Raw genomic sequence first — 17,853 nt, 5'->3', positions numbered from 1 at the left:
CTCAGTGTCAGCTTTAAGATAGGTGAAATTTCCAGCACAGAATGAAGATTATGGAAGATCTCTGTGCAGTGAGGCATGACAGAAAAACAGAAGGACTTTCTAGGTTTTTCTGTGTCATGCTCCCAAGAGTGTCAGTGAGACGAAATGGAATAGAAACTGAAGACAGAAGTGAGCGGTAGACATAAATGTAGCTGCTTTGTCCTGTGTTAAAATACCCTCCTTTCATGAACTGGGAAACACGTTATTTTTAATGGTTATCTTCCTGGCATTGTTATATGACTAGGTTTTATGTATTTCTTTTTTCTCCCCGCTAGAAGTCCCATATGTCTGGCTTCATATCAGAGACTGTAGTTTAAAATAAAATTCCTGTGTACCGTTTGTAGTCTTTCTTGTTTTAAAATTCAAGATTCATAATTTCTGTCTTCTTAAGGGCTTGATTCTTGAGTAGACATGAAGAAATGCATTTAATTCTAAAGCCCTAATGTCACAGTTCTTTAGGAATAAATAGGATGGGGTTAGGGAGCTTTAAAGTTGACTCGTGGCTCTTTTTCTCTACTACCTTCCTGTCTTAGCTGCAAATTGTTAAGAACATCAGCTTCTGACTTTAGTTCAGCTTTCATGATGTCCCTTCATTGATCATTTTCTCTTCTCTTTATACATTTCTTCTTCATGAGTGTGGTAGTTACATTATGGAATAATATGCGAGAGTGGTGGGGGATTGGGGCTGGAGTTAGGACCAAAGAGAAGGAATACAGAAGGATGTTAGTCTTGTTATATTATACTTCCATTCTGTATTTGTCTTGCATCATAGAATTGCTTATGTGGACATGGTAACCAAACAATCAGTCTTTGGGACAAGGAGAGGTTAATGAGGCAAGGTGGTTATGACTGGAATGAGAATGGTGTAGATCTTCACCTGCAATAGAAGAGGTTGAATGATTATCTTCATGTATATCAAGTACATAGCATAGAAGCTGCTACTCCCCACTTACCAGCAGTGAGCTGGAACTAGCTTGCACAAGCTCATAAGAACCAATTTGTAAATATTCAGAAACATTGTGAGCTGGCTGTTAAGCTTTTGGTAGCTTGAAATTGATCATGATGAGGAGTTTTTACATCACAGAAATTGGTGAACAATACAAATGAGGGCTTTTAATTTTATTGTATGTTCCAGAGAGACAGCTTATCAGAGTGTCTATGCCATACTCAAGGTAAACATTGCTAACAATTGCTTTGGGTTTGACACTTTTGCTGGATTTTTTTTTCTTTGATTAATGTTTGTGTGTACATGGTACATATAGTTATGGGGTACATGAGATGTTTTGATACAGGCATGCAATGCCTAATAGTTACATCATGGAAAATGGGGTACCCATCCCTTCAAGCATTTATCCTTTGTGTTACATACTGCTGGGTCATTTTTTAATTATCTTTCACAAAAAAGACACAATGATACCAAACTTTAGATTGCAGCTTATTAAAGCATAATCAGCAACAAATACTCAGCAACATCACCAGTATTCTGTCTGGTGTTTTCTTGATGTGTATGCACCATATGAAGACATTAGTCATGCATTTGGATGTTCATTGATCAACTCATTCACTAAACATTTACTGAGTCTCTTTGTATTAGTTGTCTATTGCTGTACAACAAATCGCCTAAAAATTTAGTGGCTTAAAACAACAATAATAAATGTTGTTCAAGGCTTCTGTGTGTCAGGATTCCCAGAGTGGCTTGGTTAGACGATTCTGACTTGTTTTAGAACAAGTCATATGTAATCACTTCTGTGTCATGATGTGGCACTCAGATGCTGGCTAGGGCCGCAGTTTTCTGATGGCTTGACCAAGGTGGAAGAAATTACTTCTAAGGTTGCTCACTCAGATGGCTAGCAAGTTAGTGCTGACAGGATGCTTCCTATCCACTTAGGCTTCTCCACAGGATTATTAGGGTGTCCTTGCATCACAGTGGATGGCATCCTCTAGACCAACAAGTCTAAGAGTTCGTTTCAAGGCACACTGAATTCTTCATTTGGGAAATGAGGTACTAGAGTAGCTTAAAACCTTTGCAGTTTCTGCTCACTATGCCTGAGTTGCTTTTCCCCCAGATATTGCACAGCCGACTTGCTTTCTTCATCTCAGCCTCTGCTAAAAGAGAGCCCCTCATTAGAAGATCTTTCCTCACTAACACCCACTACTTTCTTTTTCCTTATGCAACAATGTTTTTCTTCATAGCATCTATCACTCTATGATATAATATTTAATATTTATTTGCTTGCTTACTGTCTTTGTCTTTCATTAGAAAAAAAATATCTTCAAGACAAGAACCTCATATATTCTTTTGCTTAGAGCACCTGTTGAATGATGAATGAATAAGAGTACTGGTTCTCTAGTTAGACGAGGGTCTGGAGTCTGGCTCTGCTACTTATTAGATCAACAGGCAAATTATTTAACTTTTGTATAATTCAATGTTCTCAGCTAAAAATGGGCTTAACAATACTTGTGTAGCTCTTGAAATTGTAATAAAGATTTTTAAATACATAATATATATAACATACCTAGCATTGTGTTTGCTTATAGTAAGAATCTATAAAATGTTAGGTATTGTTATTATTATTTTGTTGTTATTACTATGATAATATCCTCAAACATACAGTGAGGGGCCATTTGAAAGAGGTGTTAATATAGTTTGTCTGTGTCTCCGCCCAAATCTCATCTTGAGTTTTAGTTACCATAATCCCCATGTGTCGTGGGAGGGACCCCATGGGAGGTAATTGAATCATGAGGGTGGGTACCCCCATGCTGCTGTTCTCATGATAGTGAGTTCTCACAAGATCTGATGGTTTTATAAGGGGCTTTCCCCCCTTTCACTCTGCACTTCTCCCTCCTGCCATCATGTGAAGGAGGACATATTTGCTTCCCCTTCTGCCATGATTATAAGTTTCCTGAGGCCTCCCCAGTCATGCTGAACTGTGAGTCAATTAAACCTCTTTCCATTATAAATTACTCAGTCTTAGGTATGTCTTTATTAGCAGCATGAGAATGGACTAATACAGATGTTATTGGTATGGATCAGTGATTGAACTCATCAAAGCCTTTTCTCATGTTGAGCTCCTATGTTATCCCTCTTCTTAGTTCAATTACTTTTTTTCTTGAAGGTCCTGAACAGACTGCAGAGTAAATATGGCTCCCTGTACAGAAGAGATAATGTCATCCTGAGTGGCACTCACACTCATTCAGGTCCTGCAGGATATTTCCAGTATACCGTGTTTGTAATTGCCAGTGAAGGATTTAGCAATCAAACTTTTCAGCACATGGTCACTGGTATCTTGAAGGTAGGCAAAGAGCCCCAGAGGCAGCTGTTCTTTACCATTGCTTACAGGTATTTTAGGAGTGATTGGATGTGATATAAAGAATCCCTATAGGATTTGGGTCTGAGCATAGTATTAGCATGTACAATTCTTTCTCCTCCCTGACTCTATCTTAGCTTCTTGTTCTGAGCTATGGGCTGTTAGGGATGAGGCATGGATGATTGGAAAAGAAGGCTTCTATGGGACTAAGCCCAATGTAGTTATTTAAACAGACAGAAAACATTTTGGTTTGGGGTTCTTTATAGAGGGCACTACATGGCCTGTTCTTTGCACAAAGTCACACAAAGAGAAACCCATGAAGGAGCCAAAAGTAATTACAAATAATTCTAAAATTTTAAAATATTTCCCAAAGTACAAAGAGAATCCAACTTATAAACACACATCCCAATTTTTCAAGTTCTCTAGTATAGATACAGACCTCCGTGGTGCTCCTGACAAATACCCTTAAACTCCTCTCCTGTTTCTGGTTTCAGTAGCTTATACTCCTCTCTTTTCTGTCTTTCAGCTTATTATTTTGTTGCATAGGATCCTTGCTAATGTTTTGCTTCATTTTATTGTATTCCAGGCTTATTCTCTATTTTTTCTTACAATGTCACCCCCAAAATTCAGAGATCCAGCTGGCATAGGCAGAAATTGCTTTACATTGATGTTTTGCAAACTGAGGCTTTCAATGTATTAAAGGCTTATGAAATCAATTTCATGGATTGCAAAAAACATTACATAAAAAATGCTAAAAAATAGATTGTAAGATATAGTGTATGACACACAGTCAGGGTATAGTTTGCTTTGTGGACTTTTGTTTTGGGATGCATATGTTGATGTGTATTAAGTTATGATGAAAAATGTATCTCTCACTGTAGTTCACTGTCAAAAAAGTTTGAACAACTCTGCCTTGGTGGTAGAATGGCAAGGGTAGGGAGGTGGAAACAGTTGCATGTTAGCAAAACTTGTATTAGTGTTGTAGGAGTCAAGTCTCCCATTTTGGCTATCTGAAGTGACAAACTGAACCTCATTTAGCAGTCCTGAGAGAGCAGGAGTTGAGACTTTTTGTGAGCTCAGGCATTAATCAGTACTGTGCTTCCGTATAACACGGCATTTCCCTTATCTCAACCTTGAAAGCCATTTCTGTTTACCTCCAGATTGTCAACAGCGATGTGGTTCTCCAGCTTTTATCCCGTAATGTGGACCCATTAGAGACAAAGGAAATTGTTCACAGGGCTCTTCTGTTTATATTGACTAAGTTATTGTCCCCACCAGGATTTCTAAGCTTATAACATCCCCCTCTTTTTTAACCTTCAGAGCATTGACATAGCACACACAAATATGAAACCAGGCAAAATCTTCATCAATAAAGGAAATGTGGATGGTGTGCAGATCAACAGAAGTCCGTATTCTTACCTTCAAAATCCGCAGTCAGAGAGAGCAAGGTGAGGAGGAATCGTCAAAATGAAATCGTTTCATTCCCTTTAGGGAACAGCAACAAAATCTAAGTACAGGGCTGTTACTTGATGAATATGGTGAGGTCCCAAGAGAGTATTACAGCTATGATATCTTAAAAACATCTGTGTAATCTAAAACAAGCAGAAACAAAAAGTGAATGTAGAAACAAACACCAATTTATTAATGTATCTTTCCACTTTGTTGATTATGGGAGCGAGTGTGGATGTTTGAAGGACTCTGGGCTTTGAAATCAGGAACAACTGTGGTCTCAGCTTAGTTTTATTGCTTTCTAGCAATGTGACCTTTAGTGATTTACTTATCTTAATTTATTGTCTCTCAGCTTCTTCATCAGTAAAATGAAGATAAAAATGTGCTCAATGCATATTTATTAAATTAATGAATAGCTCTTTTATTATGTGTTATCCAGAATAAATCATCTTAGTCCACAAGAGTGTGGCAAGACAGAGAAAATAAAAGGATAAAGAATATGGACAGAAGAGTAAGAAATAAACCCACATATTTGAATGGAAAAACTAAGGGAGAGGATTATTTTGCCTTTTTGTCTTTTTTTAAGTGATGAACCAGGTTTGTAACAGAAGAGAAGTGCTTGGTTACTGTAACACTGTAAAATAATACCACAGTTTCCACTTGACCACTTGACATTTAACATTTTTCTGCATATTTTTCAATAGCTTTCAAAGGAGATGATTTTTAGAAAATGTAATCTGATTTCCCTTGAGAAGACATAAAAGAACACTTAAGTTGCAGGTCTTGAATGCTTTTGATTTTGCAAATTCCCTGCTCTTTTAAAGAGATTTCATTAAAAATTGATATGAGTAGAAATTTCAAAGACAAATAAATCCCTTTTGTAAGAAATACATATATGTTATATAATATTGTATGTTATATAAAAATATGTGTATTTCAGCTCCAGTCGCTTGACCTAGTCCCCCAAACTTTGATCGCAATTGCATAGCCTTTCCTTAGCTGATAAATGAGGTACTGGATACAGTTCACAGAACTACTGCTTGTCAAGACATCTCACTTACTGAGAGGCATTTTTGTTTTTGTGTCAGCTGCTACTGTTCATCTTACATGAGGGTTAGGCTCTAACACAGAACTGACTGTGCTTTTCTGTTTTACTGACTAGGTATTCTTCAAATACAGACAAGGAAATGATAGTTTTGAAAATGGTAGATTTGAATGGAGATGACTTGGGCCTTATCAGGTACTGTATTTCCTTTTTAAAAATAATTCTGTCGGGTAGCTTTTCTTAATTAAAGAGAAGGGAAAAGAGACTAGAATAGTACCAGCACACACTGAGAATAAGTTGTGTGGTTAAGAGTCCAGGTTCTGAAGTCAGACACAACTGGGGTCCAGCCAAGGGCCTTGTACAGGGTTCTCAGTCTCTCAGGGCTTAGTTCTGCACTTACAAAACAGATTTAATACAGGGAAGATAAATGAGAGATCTTGGTGAAGAGCTTGGCACAGCATCTCGCATATGATACAAAAATTCAGTAAACATTAACACTTATTATGTTATCAAGATCTCACATGTGGAACTTCCATGATGGTATACAGTTATCTCCTAGTAAAATGAAAAAACAATCTAACCAACCAGGAAAGTGATTATGGCTTTGAGATTATTTACCTGTGTTTCCCTAAAAGGATTAAGTCCAATGCAGGACAATGGCAAGTAGGGATAAAATAGAACTGAGAACACCTAAAGGAAGCAAGTGAGGGAAAATTACAGGTGGGGCCAGCTTTTAGCACAATTATCTGGGAGTGACAGCATTTAGGAAAACACATGGATTTTGTTTTCTTGAAAATAAGGAATTTGCATTCATATGTGATTTTGGTTACTGCAACTGGCCTGACTCAGGAATTGACTGGGTGGGTAACATGGTTCCAGACTCTTTGACCTATGGACTTGCAAATGATGCAGACATGCCCTAGGGAAGTACCAGATAGTGCTGGGTGCTACAGTCAAATGGCTTGGGTTCACTCTGGGCTCTTGTCCTTATTAGCAATGTGACTTTAGACAAGTTCTGTGACTACCCTGTCTTCCTGTTTCTCATCCCTAAGCATTTTTGTGCATACCATAGGATAAAGTAAGTATTTAAAATGTTGATAATAATGATTAGAAAGATGACAAAGGGTCTGCCAAGTAGAATTATAAAATATCTAAGTAAAAGATGCTATGTGAATAAAACTTGCAGTAAAATTGACAAAGTGGTGAAGAAAAACATTAAAAACTATGATTCACAGTTCACACACCACAGTTGGCCCTAAAACTAGGTGGAGAACAACATGGTAATAAAAAGTTCAGGTCTTGAGGTAAGGTTGACTTGGCTTCAAGTCCCAGCCCTCTGCCACTTACTAACCCTGTGGCCTGGAGAAAGTAACTTAATTCACTTAGACCTTAACTATCCTATTTGAAAATGGGAATAGTAATACCCCATAGGGTTGTCTGAGGATTAAATGAGATAATGCATACAAAACTCTAGTTCTGTGCCTGACATAGAAAAAAGCTTAATCATTTTAGCTAAAAAGGAATAGAAAACATATTCTACCTCTTCTGAATAATTCCATTACCAGCATATTAGAATGCTTGAAATTCTTAGCATTTGAGTTCCTCTTTTGTGTTAAAAGTGAAGTCACTAAAAACTCCCTAATAAACTTTGGTATATGGGCTGACATAATGGACTTATTCTTCTACTACAATCAACTTATCTCTTGATTAGTTTCCCCTTAGCATTTAACTCAGCACACTTTCTAAATGTCAGGCATGTAACTGTGTGAGTGGGGTATGTTATGATGAATAAGGCAAGTTTTCTATCTTTAAGGGTCTCACAAGCTGGTGGGGTGATTGGGGCAAGAGACAGAGACAAATATATAGACAAGTAACCATAACATGAATCAGATGACCAGCAGTGCTATCCCATGGGCATAAATAATGCTGTGGGAGTTTGGAGGAGGTAGCCCTGAGTTTTTCCTGAGAGCACTGTGGAAGGCTTCCAAGAGAAAATGACATTTGAGTTGGACCTTCAAGGAGTCATGGGATTTCTCACGGAGTCATGAAAAATACAGAGCCATAAGGCCAGAGTGTGGGTGAGGTCAGGGCATTGGTAAAAGGTGGACTGGAAAGGTAAAACAGGTCCAGATTCTAGAGCACTTTAGTGGGGCATTCAATTACAAGAAGGGCAGGATAACAGCATACATCTCTGCTAGTTACACTGAGTATCCCAAATTTGTTGGGACAAGGAGATAGAGTCGCCCTTATAGTTTCTATTTTACTCTTGGCTGAAGGACCAAGACCATTTACAATTCCCTTTTAGTAGTTTTTGAACCTTTTTTTTTTTTTTTTTCCTGAGACAAGCTTTTGCTCTGCTGCCTAGGCTGGAGAGCAATGGCGTGATCATAGCTCACTGCTGCCTCAAATTCCTAGGCTCAAGTGATCCTCCTGCCTCAGCCTCCTTAGTAACTGGGACTACAGGTGCTCACCACCACACCTGGCTATTTTTTAAAATTTTTTGTAGAAATGGGGTCTTGCTTGTTGCCCAGACTGATCTCAAACTCCTGGTCTCAAGTGATCCTCCACCTCGGCCTTCCAAAGTGCTTGGATTACAGGTGTGAGCTACTGCACCTGGCCAGTTTTTGAATCATTTAATAACTGGAACAGAAAATTCAAAAATACTATTATTTTGGCCAGATGTTCTTTGCTTCCATACATGCAATTGTATCATGTATCTGGAAGTCTTTCGGTCAACTGTCAAGGTTATAGCAAAGCTTTTCCATCTGTTGTGCTTAACATCCTGCAATAACTTTCCATTGTTTCTGAGCTGCCGTATGTTATCTTTGATGTAATTGCTCCTGCAATTGCCTCTTGTTGCATAGTGTAATTGCTCTTTGAATACGTTAAAAATGATCCAAAATATAAAGTCAAATGTGGGCTGCTAAGTAACTCACCCACCATATGTAGATGCCTGCTGTTAGACAGAATCCCAAGGTGTGAGGAGTTTGGAAGCACAGCAACTCAGAATCACAGAGCATGGAGATGACCTAGTTTAACCTTCAGCAGAGGAACAAGGGCCTAGAAAGGTGATGTGACCTGCCCAGCATCACAGCCAAGACTATCTTCTTCACAATGAAAACCATATTTGAGTTCATAATTCATTCCTTCTTACTCTCATTTTTGTTTTCAGTTTTTCATTCAGCAAGTCTGCACTAGGGACCTACTATGAGCCACGCAATACTTCCTTGGAATGATGTATTCCCTGGCCTTGAAATAAGGAATCTAGTACCCATGTTTGTGCTACTGGAATGAATCCATTAAACTCTCTGAGACTCAGTTGCCGTATTTTCAAATGTGGCTATCATATCTTCTCTCCACACAGAGATTATTATGGGATACACTGATGAACAAATATAGATGGAGTTGCTGCCCTTATAGGACTTCAGTCTACTGAGGGAGACAGAAGGCATACAGATAGGCATACAATACATGTAAAATTATAATTGGGCTCAGTGCTAAGAAAGGCAGGTGTGTAGAACTTTCTTAAAGGAATTTGACCTTGTCAGAGAGATTGGGAAAGGTTTCCCTGAGGAAGTGACAGCAATGGGAGCTGGAAACTGGAGTAGGAATTAACTGGCAAAATGGGGGGATTGGAAAAGAACATTTAACACAAATGGGGAAGCATTTGAAGAACTGGTAAAAGGTGAGTGTGGCTGGAGTGCAGAGGTCAACAGGGCAGGGTGTTGCAAGACAAAGTAAGAAATAGAGATTAGATGGCATGACAAAGAATTTGTTTTTCTATACCAAGAGGAATGAAAACTCATTAAAGTGTTTCAAACTTGGGTTGGGAGTTGGGGCTGTCGAAGGATTGGGAAGAGTGTAGACTTGAGGAATGAAATAAAATTATGTTCCTGAAACTATTCCATGAACCATTAAGCCCTCTACAATTGTGAAGCCACCATTTGCTCTAGTTGCTCTATGTCAGAAAAATCTGTTAGAAAATTCTATGTCAGAAAAATATTGCTATCTTTGTGCCTTTTTCCCCTTACATGAAAGCATTCAATGTTTTTTTTTCTCCAGACATGGAGAACATGTTGTGGATGTTCTGAATTGTGAATTAAAATATAAGCTGTGTAACATTTACAAAATTCACTTTGGGAGACTCTGTAAGGTACTTCAAAGAGTCTGTCATCCAATAGAGGAAAATAAACAGAACCTTGAGAGTCTCGGATGCAATAAGACACTATGTGTGTGAAGAAAACATGAAGGGAGAAAGCAAAACAGGTTTCAAATGTCTACATCAAAAAGAAAGTCACAAGTGCAGATAATCTGAGTGGTAGTTGTGGTCAGTGGAAGAGCTACTACTCACATAGCTACACTTACGAAGGCAGCTCTGAGACAGGTGAGGAGGCCGACTTATTTCTTCAAGGATGCTGCAACTGAAAAGGCTTTGTCTTGCTTTTCTTCTCTTTGCCTTCCTCTTTTCTTCCGCCAAGTTTTCTTCCTTGAATTTGCAGCAGTCACATGGACTCCTCTTCTCCTTCCTTCTCCTTCTCCTTCCTCTTCTTTTCTTCTTCCTCCTCCTTGCTCCTCATCCCGCTTCTCCTCCTCCTCCTCTTCTTCCTCCCCTCTTTTCTCTTCTCCTCTCCTCTCCACTGCCTTCTATTTATGTATTGCAAACCCTTTTATTCTTATAGTCAGTGGTCTTGTAAGGGAGCCCTTTAAAGGCATATTTTTAAGATGACAGGGGCAGTGATTTGTGTAAGCTATTTGAATCATTTGTGTAAAAAGTTAAAAAAATCCTATTTGTGCTATTACACTCATTTATTCAAATGGTGTTGACTTACAGAACTCAGTTGCAGTATATATATAAATCTTCTCTATCATCTATGACTATGACTTCTTTATTTAAAAACTTTTTTTACATAAAACTGTTTTGTTTTTAATTGACACAGAATAATTGAATTATTTTTCTTGAATTGTAATGTCTGACTGTTTATTCTCTATGGTTTTCTGTATTCTGACTCTATACTCTCCCCTCCGTCCACTTAACCCCACTCAAATTGCAAATGCTGAAACCTTAGTGACTGCCCTCTACCAAACCATTCTTGTTCTCTTTTTTTCATCTCATCTTGTCTTTGTCTTCCTAAATGCCTTCTCTATCATTAGCATGAATTCTGATTTATAAAGCCTTCCTTTCTGTTTATTTTATTTATTGCTTTTATTTAAAAAATAAATAGAGACAGGGTCTTGCTATGTTGCTTAGACTGGTGTTGAACTCCTGGCCTCAAGGGATCCTCCCACCTTGACCTTTCAGAGTGTTGGGATCACAGGCCTGAGCCACTGTGCTTGGCCCCTGCTTTCTTTTTCTATATCTTTCACTGAACCTCTTTTTCTTGTTCCGCTCCATGTTGTGAAGCTTGATGCTGTCTTCCTGCTCTAACTTTACTTTCTGTTTGCCTGTATTCTTCTTCAGTGGAGCTTGGTCATGGTTGTGAAGTGAGCTTTCATCCTGGGTCAGGTTCACCCCTCTCCCCTGCCCCGTAGGTGAAGGTGCCTAAAAGGGCTTTTAGATGACCAAGATGGTGACTGTTGACTGATAACAAAGATTGATCAGCCTAGTGTAGTTTAAATTGTCCCAAGTTTAGAAACCAAAGCCATAAAAAAATAGTTGGCTGGAGATATTGGACAACTTGATTGTTAGATTTCTGGAAAGTTCTTACTTAACCTGAAAAAAATCTGGGAGATTATTTTTTTTTTCTAAGTTTTTTTTCAGTATAAAAATAGTGTGTGCTTACCATAGAAAACTTGAAAAATAAAGAAAGTAGAAAGGAAGGAAAAATTAAATTAAAATTATACTACCTCGAATCAATCATGGTTAATATTCAGGTGCATTTGCTTCTGTTCATTTTTCTATGTGGAACATATAATAAGAAATACACATGACTAAAAGCTCATTCTGTAAACGTGAATGCTCACTTGGTTTCACTCACTGTGCACTAGAAGCTTTAAAATACTATAAAAATATTAACAATGTTATCTCCATCACTGCAAAAACAAGTATCTGTTTGTTTTTGCAGTGATCCTCTTCTTATCTAATAATGTGTTTTTTTTGTCTTAAAGTCTACATAGTCTGTTAATGTGGCTAACCCAGAATTTGCCATGTATATTTTTCTATCATTTTCTTTGAACCGTTCTTTATTCTTACATTTTAAGGGTGTCTCTTATGAATATCATATAGCTTTAGTTATTTCTTTTGTACTCTGACAATCATTGTTTTTTAAGTGAATTTAGTGTATTTTCAGGAATTGTGATTATTATATCTGAACTTTTCTGTATCTCCTCACTTTGTGCTATTTGTCTCACCTTTTCAGTGCTTCTTTTTCCTCCTTTCTCATCTCTTACTTTTTTTGGATTGATAGCTATTTTTAAAATATATATTTAAATGGCAGATTGTAGTTTATAAAAATGGCTGCAACAACACAACAATTGCTCTTATTCCATGTTTTATCCAAAGTGACCTTGCCACTCTCCATTAAAAGGTGGAGATTATTTTCCTAGTTCTTGAACTTTGGCTGGTCCTGTGACTGCTTTGAACAATAGAACAATGCAGAAATGATACCGTGCCAGTGCTGGGCATAGTTTTTTTTTCAATAGACTTTATTATTATTTAATTAATAAACTATATTTTTAAAAGCAGTTTCAGGTTTACAGCAAAATTGAGCAGGAAGTACAGAGATTTCCTATATGCACCTTCTTCCAATACATGCACAGCCTCCCTCACTATCAATATCCCCAACCAGAGTAGTACATTCCTTATAACTGATGAACCTACATTGACACATCATCATCACCCATAGTTTACCTTAGGGTTCATTCTTGGTGTTGTATCAAGTAATTTTTAAAATCTTCTTTTCTTTTATATATTTTCTAAAATTTCCACAGTAAGAAAAAAATTAAAAAGTCAAAAAATCGTGTGGAGATCCTGACACTCAGAGCCAGCTTCTATTAAAAGTTTGTTACATAGTCTTTCAGACTTTTTCTAAGCACATTTATAATATTTTTCTTAAAAAGTGGGATTTTATTATATTTACAGTTTGTTAACTCTATTTTTAATTTAGCAATACCTTATGAATATCTTTCAATGCCAGTTAGTATTTTTTAAATCACCATTTAAAAATTGCCATGTAGTATTCCATTCTATGTATCATAATGTACTCAACTAATCAGCAATCATTTGTTATTTAGATTGTTTACAGTGTTTTCCATCATAAAATACATCGTGATAAACATTTTTTTTTTTTTAGATGGAGTCTTGCTCTGTTGCCCAGGCTGGAGTGCAGTGGTGCAATCTTGGCTCACTGCAACCTCCACCTCCTGGGTTCAAGCGATTCTCTTGCCTCAGCCTCCTGAGTAGCTGGGATTACAGGTGCGCACTACCACACCCGGCTAATTTTTGTAGTTTTTTAGTAGAGACGGGGTTTCACCATGTTGGCCAGGCTAGTCTCAAACTCCTGACCTCAGGTGATCTGCCCGCCTCGGCCTCCCAAAGTATTGAGATTACAATTGTGAGCCACCACATCCGGCCTATGATAAGCATTCTTGAACAGATACATATTTGCCAATGATTTCCTTAAGCTAAATTCCTAGAATGGGATTCCTGAGCCAAAGAGAATGTTTATATTTTAAAGCTTTTCCTATAAATTGCCCAACACCCCTTTGTTGGTTTACTCTCCCATTACTCAAACTTGAGCAGAATGTTGTTTGTCATACTCTTGCCAATCTTAGTATGACCATGCTTTACAATTGTTGCCAAGTAACAGGCTTAAAAAAGTCAAATCACTGTTGTTTTCCTTTGAATTTCTTCAATTCACGGTTTGGCTCAAATAAAAAAACAATAGTCTATTGGCCATTTCCTGTTTCTTGTTGCACTTACCATGTAATGTGCAAGGATTTTTTAATTTTTTAATTTTTATTGTTTGACAGAGTCTCGCCCTGTCGCCCAGCCTGGAGTACAGTGGCGTGATCTCAGCTCACTGCAACCTCTGCCTCCTGGGGGTTCAAGTGATTCTCCTGCCTCAGCCTCCCCAGTAGCTGGGATTACAGCTGTGCGCTGTCATTCCCGGCTAATTTTTATATTTTTAGTAGAGATGGGGTTTTGCCATGTTGGCCAGGCTGGTTTCAAACTCCTGCCTTGGCCTCCCAAAGTGCTGGGACTAAAGGCATGGTGCAAGGATTTTGACTGCTGTAACTTAATGGAATTTACCCTAATGAGATATTTCTCCAATATTGTTATTTAGAAGGTCTTTTTCATTCAGGATTTTTGAAGATAACAAAAGGATTCCTTGAGAACGTACATCACTTCTCTGGGGTGGAGTTGGTAGAAATATTCTGCAGGATGCTTGTCCCAGGTGTGCCTGTAACTTTAGGAGGGCTCTTCTGGCTAGAGCTCATTATCTTTTTAAAATCTGAGCAGTCCGGTGTGTATTCTTTTCTTCTGCTGGTTTAAAATTTAGCTTGCCTTTTAGGTAAAAGTCTGGGCCCAATAATCCTTCCAGTATAAGACAATGAAACACCCTTTCCTCTTCTTCTCCAAACAGTTTGCAGTGGGTTGGGGTGAGGATGATTTTGAGGGAGTGAAAACGAGGGTGTGAAGGTAATTAATGGCAAGTGCCACACAAGATAGAATGTGAAATTCCAGTGGCTTAACACATTGAAGACTTATTTTCCACTCATGGAAAGTCTAGTGAAGATTGGGTAGTCCTTCTGCACACATGTTATTAGTCAGAGGTATTCACACGCCCCACCTTGCAAATGAGACTGGGAAATAGAAGAGCACATGGGCATTTTGTGAGCACTCACGTCTCTGTCACAAGAGGGCAGGCTATCCTCACTGAATCATTTCATGCCCATACCATGTGGGTTGAATATACATGTGTTGCGAATGTTGAACACCGCCCCCATATATTTAACATTGTATTAATCTTACAAATCATATATATATTTGTATATATATATATTTATTTATGCTCAGAGCTTTGTATCTCTTTCCTTTATCATCATTATCATCATCTGCAGCTGCAGCAGCAGTAGTATCAGTATAGCATCACCAATATTCTTGTAGTGAACATTTATTCCATTCTTGGTATCAGCCAGTCTTTGTGCTAAGCACCTCACATGTATTAGTTATTTTAATTGTCAAATGCAGGTACTACTATTATCATTATGTTACAGGTATGAACACTGAGGTTCAAATAAATTAAGTAACTCATGTCTGACCCCAGAGCTGGTATTTTCAGCTACTGTAACACAATATTAGCCTCTGTATTAGTTTCCTAGGGAAGCCACACATTATCAAAGACTAGGTGGCTTAAAACAACAGAAATTTATTCTCTCACAGGTCAGGAGGCCAGAAGTCCAAATTCAAGGCATTAGCAGGGTTGGTTCCTTCTGGAGGCTCTAAGGGGGGAATCTGTTCCATGCATCTCTTTTAGCTTCTAGTGGTTGCCATCAATCCTTGGCTTCATTGGCTTGTAGACACATCCCTCCAATCTGTGCCCCCATCTTCATATCACCTTGTTCTCTATGTCTCTGGGTTTCTCTCTGTTCCTTTCCTCTTGTAACGATGCTAGTCATTGGATTTAGAGCCTACATGCGGTCAGTATAATATCACTTAATCTTTACCTTGATTACATCTATAAAACCCATATTTGCAAGTAAGTCACATTCTGAGGTTCCAGATGAGCATGCATTTTTGAGTGACACTATTCAACCCATTACAGCCTCCTATATTTTATTTCCTAAAGAGCTCCCATGTTGCTATGAATCTTCATGAACGTACCTTTGAATGGATACACAGTATTCTATTTCCCTATTTGTGGGCGTTTAGGTCGGGGAGGGCCATGCTAGCACGTAGAACCTTTGTCTAAGTTACACAAACGCATCCTCTTTTCTGGGCTGGCTGAAGTGCCAGGCTCAGTGAGCTGCACAGAGGCTGGATTTAACCACCTACTTACCCCCTTTGCCAGTGTTCTTTGTACAGGGCACAGCTTGCACACTGGACATGGAGGCCCAGGTCTGAGTGCATGGAATCTGCTTTTACCTTTGTTTCAGAGTAGGGCACATGCAATGTCTGAATCACTAGAGATCTTTTTCTCCAAATGCCTCCTTTACACAGAAGGAAAAAAAAATTGTAGTGTTTTATATTAATATGTTGTTTACTGATTCTATAATAGTTGAAATCTATTATTTTTCAGTCTCAATAATTTTTAAATTTTAGTCCAGAAATTTTGACTAATTTTGCTACAAACTAGGATAAGGTCCCCAATCTCTTGACTTTCTGCTGTATTTTTAATTACATCATGCTGATTCACGTAGCACCTTGCTTCCTATTTTACATTTAGCTGTGACATAAGCATTATTTAAAAATGCTTATTATTAGAGATGTATTCATCCTTTTATGTCTGAATTCTTAACTTCTGAAACTAAAGCTTTCTTCCTTTCTTTTGAACTTTGCTTGGAAAAATATTTTTTGGCCAGATAAAATAAAATATAAGTACTGCGTTTTAAAATTAAAATGATCACCTTTCTGCATATCTTTATAAATATTCATCCATAACTATAGTACTTTGGTTGCTGTGACAAGTTTGCTATTTTAATAGTGCACATTTCAAAGGACAATGGAGGAAAAATATGACATCTTCCTTTCCTTCAATTTAAATAACTTTTTTCTGAACACTTATTTTATTTTAATTTTCTAGAGAAAAAGTTCAGTTTATTTTCTGAGGCTTAAAATAAATGGAATAAAGAAGAAATCAAGCCAGGTGTGGTGGCTCATGCCTGTAAAAGCAGTACTTTAGGAAGGTGAGGCAGGAGGATCGCTTGAGCTCTGGAGTTGGAGATCAGCCTGGGCAACATAGTGAGACCCCATCTCTACAAAAAATAAAAAGAATTAACTTGGCATGGTGGTGCACATCTGTAGTGCCAGCTACTTGGGCGGCTGAAGTAGGAGGACCACTTGAGTCTAGGAGGTCAAGGCTGAAGTGAGCCATGATTGCACCACTGCACTCCAGCCTGGGCAACAGAGTGAGACACTTTTTCAAAAGAAGAAGAAATCAAGTCTATATCTAACTAGTAGAGTGAAATTCTTAGTACATGCTTTCTCCATAGTTACCATTGTGGCCAATTGTGCAAGGTCCTTGATGGTAGGAAATGCATCTGATTCCTCTTTACGATCCTTCACACAATGCCAATCAACATGATTCCCAATAAATTCACTCTGATTGAATGAATGATACAGCTGCCATCTTTCCTTGTCCATATCCATTCTGCTCTGGCCGCCCTGACTATCCATTCTCTGAACACAGGGCCCTCCTTCATATCTCCATGCCTTTGCAGATGTTATTTCCTCTGCTAGGAGTACTCGTTATCTAGTGATTCCTTTGCGTAGCTCTTCCTCATCTTTTAAGACCTAGCTCAAGTGTCACTTCTTTTGTGAAGCATGTCTCAAGGCCAAGATGATACCTCATTTATCTTTATGTTCCTGGTGGCTGGCACAGAGTCAAAGTTAACCAAATGTGTAGTGAATGAGCAAGTGAATGAAGAGAAGGGACAGAACCAGGATTCCACAGTGGATAAGAGCATATATCTCTATCTCTATCTGTATCTATCTATCTATCTATCTATCTATCTATCTATCCATCCATCTATCTATCTATCTATCATCTATCTATCTATACACACACACACACACACACACACACACATACAACCTGAATTCATTGCTCTGCTTCTTGACTTACCATTGTGTGACCTAGGTCAGGTAACGTTACCACTCTGGGACTTAGTTTTCTTAGTTGCAGAATGAAGATAATGATAGTACTTGACTCAAAGGGTTCCCTGTGAGAATAAAATGAGATCTTGTACATAAAGTCCTTTGTCTAATAAGAGCTAAATAATGTCAGCAGAATAGTTCTATGGTTTTTCTTTGATTGTAATGGAAATATTCAGTGTTGGCTGAAGCTGGCTGAC

General features: G+C 38.0%; 1 protein-coding gene across 2 annotated transcripts in view, besides 1 other annotated feature; it reads left to right on the top strand.

Annotated features, from left to right (window-relative positions):
• The window catches only part of ASAH2 (N-acylsphingosine amidohydrolase 2), a 66,656-nt gene that overhangs the window by 12,297 nt on the left and 36,506 nt on the right, over positions 1–17,853 (top strand). For both annotated transcript variants that reach the window (NM_001143974.3, NM_019893.4), the window contains exons 5-7: positions 3,156–3,332; positions 4,668–4,795; positions 5,959–6,036. In NM_001143974.3, the coding sequence (NP_001137446.1) occupies positions 3,156–3,332; positions 4,668–4,795; positions 5,959–6,036 (383 nt within the window). The remainder of the gene's footprint in view (positions 1–3,155; positions 3,333–4,667; positions 4,796–5,958; positions 6,037–17,853) is intronic.
• Positions 14,605–14,784: a silencer, noted in NCBI's record as "silent region_2366". NCBI's record gives its function as "represses an Ori minimal core promoter by ATAC-STARR-seq in GM12878 lymphoblastoid cells {active_cell/tissue: GM12878}" and the evidence as "EXISTENCE:reporter gene assay evidence [ECO:0000049][PMID:35858748]".

Source organism: Homo sapiens, chromosome 10 (genome assembly GCF_000001405.40).
Source record: "Homo sapiens chromosome 10, GRCh38.p14 Primary Assembly".
Taxonomy (NCBI): Eukaryota; Metazoa; Chordata; class Mammalia; order Primates; family Hominidae; genus Homo; species Homo sapiens.
This window is presented reverse-complemented; position numbering and strand designations above follow the sequence as displayed.